This window comes from Homo sapiens, chromosome 2 (assembly GCF_000001405.40).
Source record: "Homo sapiens chromosome 2, GRCh38.p14 Primary Assembly".
NCBI lineage: Eukaryota > Metazoa > Chordata > Mammalia > Primates > Hominidae > Homo > Homo sapiens.
In genome coordinates, this window is record NC_000002.12 from 86,882,378 (window position 1) to 86,895,814 (window position 13,437).

At 40.0% G+C, this 13,437-nt stretch overlaps 1 pseudogene across 1 annotated transcript in view; it reads left to right on the forward strand.

Annotated features, from left to right (window-relative positions):
* The window catches only part of ANAPC1P1 (ANAPC1 pseudogene 1), a 51,192-nt pseudogene that overhangs the window by 20,591 nt on the left and 17,164 nt on the right, over window positions 1-13,437 (forward strand). The window contains exons 8-15 of the transcript NR_037931.2: window positions 979-1,052; window positions 4,207-4,352; window positions 5,396-5,616; window positions 6,690-6,802; window positions 10,711-10,804; window positions 10,904-10,998; window positions 12,468-12,505; window positions 12,625-12,690. The product of NR_037931.2 is annotated as an ANAPC1 pseudogene 1 (transcript). The remainder of the gene's footprint in view (window positions 1-978; window positions 1,053-4,206; window positions 4,353-5,395; window positions 5,617-6,689; window positions 6,803-10,710; window positions 10,805-10,903; window positions 10,999-12,467; window positions 12,506-12,624; window positions 12,691-13,437) is intronic.

The window sequence follows — 13,437 nt, forward strand, 5'->3', positions numbered from 1 at the left end:
GGTGCACTAAAATCTCAGAATTCACCACTACATAATTCTGTGTCACCAAAAGCCACTTGTACCCCCAAAAGAATTAGGGCTGCTCAACTGTTAGTGTAAGGTAAATAATCCAAAACACTTATGGTCCCAAGTATTTCAGATAAGGGATACTCAGCCTGTAAGTATACTCATGAGCTCTACGCACTTGGCACTTAATTAGCCTTTTTTCCCAATCTAAGTGGTAAAATTGAATATGCAAATAAATGGCTTCAAAAAAGATTTGGCCAGGTACGGTGGCCCACGCCTGTAATCCCAGCACTTTGGGAGGCCGAGGCAAGTGGATCACCTGAGGTCAGGAGTTCGAGAGCAGCCTGGCCAACATGGTGAAAGCCCGTCTCTACTAAAAATACAAAAAAACTAGCTGGGCGTGGTGGTGTGTGCCTGTAATCCCAACTACTCGGGAGGTTGAGACAGGAGAATCGCTTGAACCTGGGAGGTGGAGGTTGCAGTGAGCCGAGATCATGCCCCTGCACTCTAGCCTGGGCAACAGAGTGAGACTCCATCTCAAAAAAAAAAAAAAAAAAAAGCAGACTTAATTTACTTGAAGTAGTTTGTTTCTTCCTTTTTTAAAAAATGCATTCCTTTGTCAGCAGGTATGGGACACACTGCCAGTAAGAGAGGTCAATAAAAAAAGACTGCTTTATACACATTACTCCATTTGTTCTGTACTGTGATGACTGCTGTTTGCAGAAATTCTCTGGACTATATTGATTTTCCTCTGTTGGTGCATTGATAGAATTACTCTCAGGGGAGAGATTTCTAGGAATGAAATAGAAGACAATGTGAAAAATAGTATGTACAAAGTTCAGAAGATTGCATTTTGAGATAGTAGGTTTCTAGTTGCTCGTGTAATCTGGAGATTTCTTTTCAATAGAAGTGCAAAATTTGTGCACAGACATACTCGTATTGGTAATTAATTGATTATTTGTTTATTGCTAGAGAATCTTTACCCACTATGTTCAGCATGCTGCACCCACTAGATGAAATAACTCCACTTGTTTGTAAATCTGGAAGTAAGTGTGCTTCTATATTCTTTTAGATAAGCTCTTTTGTTTTTGTTTTTTTTTTGACTTTGGTGAGGGAGATTATAAAGGCGCTTATATGAAAACTGACTTATAAAAATAATGTAATGTAAACATTTCACAAAAATAACTTCTATTTTGAATTTCTTGAATATCATGGTATTAACTGCTCAACAGTTATTTTAGTAAAAATAAGGTATATAAATCAGTGAGGAATACCGATATATTTATTAACCTACCTGTAGATGCTTTGTTCTTTAATAGTTAATAAGTAAATGAATGATACTTGGATGAAGTAAAGTTTATTTTTTGTTGTTGTTTTGGGTTTTTTTTTTTGAGAGGGGTCTTGCTCTGTGGCCCAGGCTGGTGTGCAGTGGCGCGATCTCAGCTCACTGTAACCTCTGCCTCCCGAGTTCAAGTGATTATCCTGCCTCAGCCTCCCGAGTAGCTGGGATTTCAGGCACACGCCACCGTGCCTGGCTAATTTTTTATATTTTTGGTGCAGACGGGGTTTCATCATGTTAGCCAGGCTGGTATTGAACTCCTGACTTCAGGTGATCCACCCACCTCGGCCTCCCAAAGTTCTGGGATTACAGGGGTGAGCCACCGTGCCCAGCTGCTTTTTATCTTCTATATTATGTCTTGGCAGACTGCAGGCCATGGGCTAAATCTGGCCTGCAGCATGTTTTTGTAAAACTTGTGAGCTAAGAATGGTTTTTTTTTGTTTGTTTGTTTGTTTTGTTTTTTTTTTGTTTTTTAAGACAGAGTTTTGCTCTTGTGCCCAGGCCAGAATACAATGGTGCGATCTTGGCTCACTGCAACCTCTGCCTCCTGGGTTCAAGCGATTGTCTTGCTTCAGCCTCCCAAGTAGCTGGGATTACAGGCGTGTGCCACCACACTCAGCTAATTTTGTATTTTTAGTAGAGACATAGTTTCACCATGTTGGTCAGGCTGGTCTTGAACTCCTGACCTCAGGTGATCCACCCACCTCGGCCTCCCAAAGTGCTGGGATTACATCATGAGCCACCGCACCCAACATAAGAATGGTTTTTACCTTTTAAAGGGTTGTAGGAAATAACAAAGATTATGTGATAGAGTCAGTATGTGGACAGCAAACTGCACTATTTAGTCTTTGATCTTTTACAGAAAAAGTTCAAATTTTATGTTGTTACTAATTGCAGACAACCCGAATAAACATACTAGGGCCTGGGATTAAATGGCATGCAGCCTTTTTTTTTTTTTTTTTTAAGTACAATTTCCATTTTATTTTTTCTCTGGAGAATAGTCTGTCTTCAATCTTTTTATTTTCATTTTGTTTTTTTTGAGACGGAGTCTCGCTTTGTTACCAGGCTGCAGTGCAATGGCACGATCACAGCTCACTGCAGCCTCCGCCTCCCAGGTTCAAGCGATTCTCCTGTCTCAGCCTCCCTAGTAGCTGGGATCAGGGGTGTGCCATCATGCCCAGCTAACTTTTTGTATTTTAGTAGAGATGGGGTTTCACCCTGTTGCCCAGGCTGATCTCGAACTCCTGAGCTCAGGCAATCCACCCACCTCGGCCTCCCAAAGTGCTAGGATTACAGACATGAGCCACCACGCCTCGCCTTGTCTTCAGTGTTTAAGGACTCAGCTCCTTACATGGGCTTTGGTGGGGGTTGTGGGGCAGCACTCCTCGAAGGTCTAAATCGGGGTGGGTGTGTTTGGTCCTTGTGGGCTTTACAAGGTGGATTCCTGATGACTTTTCTGTGAATTGCACATCTCACACAGTAATTTAGCTTCCCATACAGCTTGGGAAGCACATAGGCATTGAAGACACTCGCTTCAGAAATGTCCCTGACTGCTGCAGCCTCCACCACATTTCGAATGATGAATTAATTTCTTTTTTTTTTTTTTTGAGACAGAGTCTCACTCTGTTGCCCAGGCTGGAGTGCAGTGGCGGGATCTGGGCTCACTGCAAGCTCCACCTCCCAGGTTCACACCATTCTCCTCCCTCAGCCTCCCGAGTAGCTGGGACTACAGGGGCCCGCCACCACGACCCGCTAATTTTTTTATTTTAGTAGAGACGGGGTTTCACTGTGTTAGTCAGGATGGTCTCGATCTCCTGACCTCGTGATCCGCCTGCCTCAGCCTCCCGAAGTGCTGGGATTACAGGCGTTAGCCACCGTGCCCAGCCTCGAATGATGAATTTCTTAATGGCCTTGTCCTTGGGCACGCGTCAGGCACAGTTTGTGCAACGAATAGGCTGCATGTGGCTGCGCCCCTTTTTGGCACGATTGTTGTTCCTTCTTTTCTTTGTCTTCTTGGAGGCACGGACTGGAGGGAGGAGTGCAGCCATTATTGATCATATTTTTGAATAATATTTAGTGAACTAGAAGTTGCTTATTTGTAATGTCAAGTAGGATACAAAACTTTAACACAGTATGATTATAATTTTGTAAAAATGTATAAAGTGTGTATATATGTATGAAAAAAACAAAAATTCTCTAATGTATTAATAGTAGATATTTTGAGATGGTGGCATGATTTTTATTTATAAAGTATTTCTTATGATTATAAAATCATATTTTAAAATTTTTCAATATTTTAACTGAATGGGAAACATTTCCTGTCAAATAAGGATATGGAGACCAGTCCATGGTACTTTAGATTAAAAGCTGAACTCACTGGGAAAAACCTTATTTTGCATGTGTAACTAGTAAAGCAGAAACAACAGTGTACTGTTCGGCACTGTCTGAATAGTAATTATAGAGTACAGCTTTCATACAGAAGAACAGAACCAATAAGGAAGTCAAACTTGGCAGAATAGTTGAGTGCAATTTATAAATAAGTCAGTTGAAGAAATCATCGACCTTTTACCTGTGGCTGATTCGTGTAATGGTGAGAGTCAGCACAAATCTTAACATTTAGCAACAGCATGTATGTGAAGCTAAAACTTGTAATGCTCTCATCTTTAATGTATTTTAAGGAAGTTGATGCCTAAAGTAAATTTATTAAAAATTCAGAGTTAATTATTTAAGATAGTAATAGATTTCGTGCTCTCTTTGGCTTGGTTGTTCTTTATCTTTAACAATTTTAAGAGCTCCGTTCATAAATATCAGTCTTGTAAAGCCCGTTGTTCTATACCTGATTTTTCTATTTTATTTTTAAGGTCTTTTTGGTTCATTACGGGTGCAATATGTTGTAGATCATGCAATGAAAATTGTTTTCCTCAATACTGACCCCTCTATTGTAATGACTTATGATGCTGTTCAAAATGTGCATTCTGTGTGGACTCTCCGGAGAGTCAAATCAGAGGTAAGGAGAAAGGCAAGTCACTTCTCCTTAACAGGAAAGGGTAGGCTGGGTGCACTGGCTCACACCTGTAATCCTAGCACTTTGGGAGGCCAAGGCAGGCGGATCACTTGAGGTCAGGACGTTCAAGACCAGCCTGGCCAACGTGGTGAAACCCCATCTATACCAAAAATATAAAAAATTAGCCAGGTGTGGTGGCTTCTGTAATCCTATCTACTCGGGAGGCTGAGGCAGGAGAATCACTTGAACCTGGAAGGTGTAGGTTGCAGTGAGCCAAGATCGTGCCACTGCACTCCAGCCTGGGTGACAGAATGAGACTCCATCTCAAAAAAAAAAAAATGTATGTGTGTGTGTGTATATATATATATGTATGTATATATATGTGTGCGTATATATATGTATGTATATGTGTATATATATATGTATGTATATATGTATATATGTGTATGTATATATGTATATATATGTGTATATATATGTGTGTGTGTGTATATATATATATGAAAGAGTAGTTAATACTTCATACCCTCACATTTTTTTTTTGGAAAAATCACTTGTGAATAGTTGTTTTATTATTATTATCATCATCATCATCATCATCATCATCATCATCATCTCTAGAGACAGGGCCTCACTCTGTCACCCAGGCTGAAGCATAATGGCACAATTACAGTTCACTGCAGCCTTGAACTCCTGAGCTCAAGTGATCCTCCTGCCTCAGCCTTCCGAGTAGCTAGGACTACAAGTGTGTACCACCACTCCCAGCTAATTTTTAATTTTTTGTAGAGATGGGATCTTGCTATGTTGCCCAGGCTGGTCTTGAATTCCTTGGCTCAAGCTATCCTCTCGCCTCACCCTCCCAAAGTGCTGGGATTATAGATGTAAGCCACGGCACCTGGCCTCATTTGAGAAATAGATTGAGCTTCTTAGGAAAGAAGAAATACTGTGTCTTTAGTAACTGACTTCAACTTGCATTCTTACAAGGAAATTGCTATTTTATTCTAATTATTGTTTTTTTTTCCTCTTTCTCTTTATTTTGACTTAAGGAAGAGAATGTTGTTTTAAAGTTCTCTGAACATGGGGGAACCCCACGGAATGTGGCCACTAGCAGCTCCCTCACAGCACATCTCAGAAGCCTCTCCAAAGGAGATTCCCCTGTGATTTCACCTTTCCGGAATTACTCCTCCATTCACAGCCAGAGTCGCTCAACCTCATCACCCAGTCTACATTCTCGCTCACCTTCTATTTCCAACATGGCAGCTCTAAGGTAGAAGGGTTTCCTGGTTTTTCTTTCTAAGCTTTCTGTTTTGTTTTGAAGGATTTAGAATTGCTGTTGACAGCTGTTTTTAGGGGAAATATATTTAGGGGAGTTTTTTTTAGGGGAAATAGCCATTATCCCAATTGAGACCTTTTTTTTTTTTTTTTTTTTTTTTGAGACGGAGTCTTGCTGTGTCACCCAGGCTGGAGTGCAGTGGCGCAATCTTGGCTCACTGCAAACTCCGCCTCCCGGGTTCATGCCATTCTCCTGCCTCAGCCTCCAGCTGGGACTACAGGCGCCTGCCACCACGCCTGGCTAAGTTTTTTTTTTTTTGTATTTTTAGTAGAGATGGGGTTTCACCGTGTTAGCCAGGATGGTCTCGATCTCCTGACCTTGTGATCCGCCCACCTCGGCCTCCCAAAGTGTGGGGATTACAGGCGTGAGCCACCGTGCTCAGCCCTGAGCCAGTTTTACTAAGATTTCTAAGTTTACCATGTCACATTCTTTCCTGAGTCATATTTTGAAGCTGCCTATGCTTGTCCTAAGGTTAGTTGCCTCATTTCTACCACTATGTGGGCAACAGTTTGATGAATATTAATTCCCAAAATATTGTGGCACTATTTTATTTTTGCCTTAATTTATGTTAGTTTTTCTTTTTTTTCTTGTTATTTGATATCTAAATGTATCTATTTCTCTATATAGATATTTATTTAAATCACCAGATATGTATATCTGGTGCTACAGGGACATTGTTTTGTTGATATATATATGTCTGACTATACAGGGACATAGTTTAGAGCTTTTTGAATAATCATTCATTTTCCGAAAAAGAAGATGATCTAAGTTTTAGTTGTAAAAGATGAGTTCTTCTAATAATAATTCTAAATCTTTAGAATATAGTAAAGCACATTGACATGAACCATTTAAATAGCTACTCCTTTTTGAAAAATTTTAATTTCTGACCTGGATTATGCCATGAATGCTCTTCTGTCTGTGGAATTTTGGGAAGTGTCATTGGAGTGTGTGTCATATAAGCCTGCCCTGCTAACTGTGATGTACTCTCTCCTCTGTTTCTTTTGCAGTCGTGCTCATTCTCCTGCCTTAGGAGTGCACTCTTTTTCAGGGGTGCAAAGGTTCAACATTTCAAGCCATAATCAGTCTCCAAAGAGACATAGTATTTCTCATTCTCCAAATAGTAAGTCTAATGGCTTCTTTCTTGCACCAGAAACGGAGCCAATTGTTCCTGAACTGTGTATTGACCATTTGTGGACAGAAACGATTACTAATATAAGGTTTGTTATATATATTATTATATTCAAAGAAAAATGTTGCTGAAAGTCTTGGGAAATATATGGCATTTTGTTTAAAGTTTCCTTTTAATGTGATCAGTTATTAATATATGTAAAAATATATAGAGATATGTATTAAGGCCACCTCAGTTTCAGTAGAGGATATTAATGAGATTAAAGTGATCATAGGCTGGACGTGGTGGTTCATGCCTGTAATCCCAGCACTTTGGGAGGCTGAAGCTGGTAGATCACTTGAGCCTAGGAGTTCGAGACCAGCCTGGCCAACATTGTGAAACCCTGTCTCTACTAAAAATACAAAAATTAACTGGGTGTGGTGGTGCATACTTGTAATCCCAGCTACTCAGGTGGCTGAGGCAGAATTGCTTGAACCCAGGAGGCTGAGCTTGCAGTGAGCTGAGATCGTGCCACTGCACTCCAGCCTGGGTGACAGAGTGAGACTATCTCAAAAAAAAAAGTCATCATAAAAATATTATTTTGTCATCTGATATTTCTTCCTTTATAGTAATAATCTCTCATTTTTCAGGTGTTTTTTGTTCTGGGGAGAAACAGTTAATTTCTATCCGTGAGGAAATGTGGGTTTTTTAGCACGTTTCCTAAGTTTTATGTTCATGTTAGTTGAGTGCCAGCTTTACTTTTTGGGAAACATAGCTTAGATCTCTGTTCTGGGTGACCTTTCTTCTTTTATATTCTCTTTAATAATTCACGTGTTAATTTATATGCCAATGTGTGTGCTAGTTAACAGTCTAATAAGTCACTGTCCCTGTCCTCAAAAGAGGCAGATAGCTGAAGGATGGTGACACAGGAGGGACTACTTTTGCTGGTAGGGCTTTGAAAAATGAACAGGTATTTGCTAGGCAGGTAAGTTTAGAAAGACCACAGACGGCAGCTGGGATCAGAACAAAAGTTCTGGTGAGTGCGTGGTGTATTTAGGGAATTATAAATACTCCCACTCTGGTTTTTGCAGAGGGGAGGGAAAAGGCTAATGAAGAGGAGGCTTCCTAGGTGCAGTGGCTCACACCTGTAATCACTCACTTTGGGAGGCTGAGGCAGATGGATCACTTGAGCTCAGGAGTTCAAGACCAACCTGCCCAACATGGTGAAACCCCATGTCTACTACAAATACAAAAATTAGCCAGGCATGATGGCGTGCATCTGTAGTCCCAGCTACTCTGGAGGCTGAGGTGAGAGAGTCATTTGAACCTGGGAGTTGGAGGTTGCAGTGAGCCAAGAGCACACCACTGTACTCCAGCTTGGGTGACAGAGTGAGACTGTCTGAAAAAAAAAAAAAAAAAAAAAAAAGGAGGCTTGAGAGATTACTGATTGCCCTTTAGGCCTCTGGTCTGTTTGATGACAGCGGTAAGAAGGCACTTCATAAGTGTGTCGGAAGTTTGGGAAACAGCAGAACAATAAATGTGGAATTGTCAGCTTATAAGTGGTGATTGAGGTAAGAGAATTAGATTAGAATTGAAGAATTATTGTATTCAATAATTGTGTGTACATGTAGTATATAGGCCTTTTCCCAAGGAGAGGGTTTTAACAGTCCTTAGATTCTCAAAGGGATTTGTGGCCTCCAAATAGTTAAAATCCAGTGGTGTAGAATTAGAAGAGGGCTAGGAACTGAAGTCCTGGAAACTTAAGATTTGGGGAATGGAAAGAGACAAAGCTGGCGCAGAGAGACAAAGCAAAAGAAGTCAGATGGGAGAAGCAGCAGGAAATACAGAATACAAAAAAGAACATTTCAAGAATACAGAGATGCCAGTATTGCCAGGTACTGGTGAAGTGTGGCCCTGAGAGTTGAACCCAGAGAGGAGGTACCTGGGTGGCAGTGGGTTCCTTGGTGACCTTGGCCAGAGCATTTTAAGCTGGGAGGGTGGCGGGGGAAAGTGGGGTAGAAAAAGTAAATGGGGACTGAGGAAATGAACATAGGCATACAGACTCTTTAAGGAGTTTGCCTTTGAATAGGAATGAAGATACAAAATTAGAGGGAGTCTTGGTCAAGGAGAGTTTTGTTTTTGCTGAACTATAATAAAATTAGTTTTCATGACATCTTGCCCCAGTATTTTCTTTTTCTTTTTTTTTTTGAGACAGGGTCTCACTCTGTCACCCAGGTTAGAGTACAGTGAGTGACTCAATCACAGCTCACTGCAGCCTTGGCCTTCTGGGCTCAGGTGATTCCCCAACCTCAGCCTCCCAGGTAGCTGGGACTATAGGCACACACCGCCACGCCTGACTAATTTTTGTAGAGAAAGGATTTTGCCGTGATGCCCAGGCTGGTCTCAAACTCCTGGGCTCAAGCAACCTGCTTGCCTCTGCCTCCCAAAGTAATGGGATTACAGGTGTGAGCCACTGTGCCTGGCCCCCAATATTTTCTTACCTAACCACAATACAAGTTTTATATCCAGTCAAATTGAGAAGGTCTTTTATATACTCTAATGTTGAGTCTATTTTATATTTTAAGACTTTTAATGTGAAATAGTAGGCTATACGGACTATACTCAAGGGAAAGTATTGAAAATACAGAAGAGAGGAAACGATTGATGGAACAAGTAACCAGAAAGGTGCACAAGTGGTGAGATTAGCGTTGGGATAAAGAAGTGAAGGTTGATCAGATACGTAAGGCAGGAGGTTGAGCTCAAGCCTTAGAGCCTCATTTTATCTGAAATGGAAGGCAAATGCATAATCTTAGAGAGAATGAAATGGGGGATAGGTAGTCTGAAGAAAGTAAAGATGTGGATACAATGTTGAAGTAGTCTCTCTGGCTTGTTTCTCATATATCAAATAAAAGTATCCTACAATTATAGATCATTTTTCTTTAAATAACTTATTTGTAAGTTGAATATATTATAGACTCTTATTTTTTAGATTTATGGGTCTTCTGTAGCACTTTATTTATTTATTTATTTATTTATTTATTTATTTTTTGAGATAGAGTTTCGCTCTTGTTGCCCGGGCTGGAGTGCAATGGCCCGATCTCGGCTCACCACAACCTCTGCCTCCCAGGTTCAATTGATTCTTCTGCCTCAGCCTCCCGAGTAGCTGGGATTACAGGATTACTGGCTAATTTTGTATTTTTAGTAGAGACGGGGTTTCTCCATGTTGGTCAGGCTGGTCTTGAACTCCTGACCTCAGGTGATCTGCCCGCCTCGGCCTCCCAAAGTGCTGGGATTACAGGCGTGAGCCACCACACCCGGCCTTCTGTACACTTTAGAAGGAAGGGTTTGGGAATTAGAGATACAATTTCAAAAAGAGATGTGAATGAGGTCTAATCTGAGAAGGAGAGGGGGTAGATAGGAGAAACAGCATTATGAAAGATCTGGCCCTTTGCGGGATAGGAATTCAAGTTTGCATGCATTACTTTACAAGTAGGTGGCTTAGTTTGCATTACAAGTAGGGAGCTTAGATAGTATGTAATTTAAAAGTTCATCAGTAATTGTTAAATTTATTGTAGCTTTCCCCAGCAAAGCTGTGTAATGAGCTCATAATCAAAGAACTGAAAGGATCTTAGAGATCATGAAGTTTAATTCTTAGAAATGTTTGTGTCTTTGAGATTATTGCTTGACCTAAGTAGTTTTTAGATTTCTTGCAGAATATTTTCAAAGACTTTTTTTTTTTTTCTCTCTCTTTTTGAGACGGAGTCTGGCTCTGTCGCCCAGGCTGGAGTGCACTGGCGCGATCTTGGCTTACTGCAAGCCCCGCCTCCTGGGTTCATGCCATTCTCCTGCCTCAGCCTCCAGAGTAGCTGTGACCACAGGCGCCCGCCATCATGCCTGGCTAATTTATTTTGTATTTTTAGTAGAGACGGGATTTCACCGTGTTAGCCAGGATAGTCTGGATCTCCTGACCTCGTGATCTGCCCGCCTCGGCCTCCCAAAGTGTTGGGATTACAGGTGTGAGCCACCGCGCCCGGCCTCAAAGACTTTTAATAGTTACTGTGGTAGATTCTTGGACCAGTGCTGACAGTTACTTTATTGATGTATCTATTATAGAGAGAAAAATTCACAAGCCTCAAAAGTGTTTATTACATCTGACCTATGTGGGCAAATTTCCTGTGCTTTTCAGTGGAGTCCCAGCTCCAGTTATGGTAGGTGTATGTATTTCCCATTGTTTCTGTATAAATAACTCAGCATTGCTTTTTCTTTTTCTTTTCTTTCCTTTTTTTTGGCTTAAGTAGTTTTATTTAGAAATAATTTACATGTCATAAAATTAACATGTTTTAACTGTACAATTAAATGATTTTTAGTAAATTACAGTGTTATACAACCATCACCATGACCCAATTTTACAAGATTTATATCACCATAAAAAGATTTCCTTGTGCTTGTTTGTAGTCAGTCTTGTTCCCATTTCCAGCCTCAGGCAACCATGCTAGGCTTCTGCCTTTATAGATGAGTTTTTCTGGACATTTATATATATATAATGTATGTACACACAGTGTAGCTTTTTGTGTTTAGCTTTCACTTAGCGTGATGTTTTTAGGATCCACCGTTTTGTAACATGTATCATTATTTCATACCTATTGCTATGTAATAGTCCATTGTATAGATCTACCACCATGTTTTGTTTATCTGTTCATCAGCTGATGGACTTTTGGTTTATTTCCACCTCTTGACTGCTGAGAATTAGGACAGTATGAACATTTGAACAAAGGTCTTGAGCAAAAATGTGGACATATGTGATTTTATTTTTCTTGAGTAAATGCCTAGGATTGGGTCATTGGGTTGAATGGTAAATTCATATTTAACTTTTTAAGAAATCACCAAACTGTTTTCCAAATAGCCTGTATCATTTTATATTCCCACCAGCAAAATATGAAGGTTAATGTCTCTTTATCCTTGACAGGATTGGATATCATCACACTCTTTGATTGTAGCTATTTTCCAGTGGTTGTGAAATGGCTTTAATTTGCTTTTCTCTAATGCATTCTGATGTTGATCATCTCATGAAGTTATTAGCCATTCATTTATCTTCTTAGGTAAAATATCTATTCAGATCTTTTGCCCATTTATTTACCTTCATATTTTGAAATACGATAGATCACAGGAAGTTACAAAATAGTAAACAAGTCCTGTGTACCTTGCATTCTTTTTCCCTCACAGGTAACCTCTTGTACAACTATAATACATTATCATAACCAGGAGATAGATGATGTACACACTTTATTTCAAATTTCATCAATTTGACATGTACTCATTTATGTGTATGTATGGTTCTATGCAGTTTTTTCACATATGTAGATGTGTGTAAATACCACCACAATCAAGATACAAAACATCTTTATCTGTCTTACGTTAACTCCTTATAGTCACATACACCATTACCCACTGATCCTGGTAACCACTAATTCTCCATCTTGATAATTTGGCATTTGTGAATGTTTTATAAATGGGCTCATACAGTATGTAAACTTTTGAGATTGTCTTTTTCTGTTCAGCATAATACTTTTAATACCCATACAGGTTGTTGCATGTATCAAGTTTCTTTTTATTTTATTATTTAGCTGTGTAAAGTTTCAAGAGAGTAATGATAAAACCCAGCTCATCTTTGTTTCAGTGACCAACATACCAGCGAAGGATGCAGCACCAGTGGAGGTAATGTAGGCACATTTGAGAAGTTGACAATTACGCTTCATCAGATTTTTCAGTCAAAAAATCTATTAATTTGCTCAAATCGGGAAATAAATTTTTAGTCTTTTTTTTTTTTTTTAAAGAAAATAGACACCATGCTGGTCTTGGAAGGCAGTGGAAACCTGGTGCTATACACAGGAGTGGTTCGGGTAAGCAATAAGTAGCACTTCATGCCTTTAGTAGGACTTCAGGCTGCCTGCATGAATATTTGTAAAGTTACTTTAGATTGATATTTTAAATTTGTTATGTTCCTGTCTGCACAATTTGGCAGAAGAATTTTGTTAATAATTCTCAGTGAAGCTTCCCATTTAGGTGGGTCCTAATTTGGAGGGCTATGGCTCACTGCTATTAAATGCATTGGTACTCTAAACCTGTCACAGATGGGAAACCTTCAATGAGTATAGGTAGATTTTTTTTTTTTTTTAAAGTTAAACTAGTTTTGAAATTGAAGCATGGGTACCTTTGAAATTGAAGCATGGGTACCTTTGGTAAGTACTAAAGTTTTGGTAAAGTTTCACTATATTAAATGTGGTGTATGTTAGCTGTATTTTTTTTTTTTTTGAGATGGAGTCTCGCTCTGTTGCCCAGGGTGATCTCGGCTCACTGCAAGCTCCGCCTCCCGGGTTCACACTATTCTCCTGCCTCAGCCTCCCGGGTAGCTGGGACTACAGGCGCCCGCCACCAAGCCTGGCTAATTTTTTGTATTTTTAGTAGAGATGGGGTTTCACCGTGTTAGCCAGGGTGGTCTCGATCTCCTGACCTCGTGATCCACCCGCCTCGGCCTCCCAAAGTGCTGGGATTACAGGCGTGAGCCACCGCGCCCAGCTGTTAGCTGTATTTTTTTAACATTTGTGAAATGTACATAGAGAATATACATTTTACAAATTTAAATTATG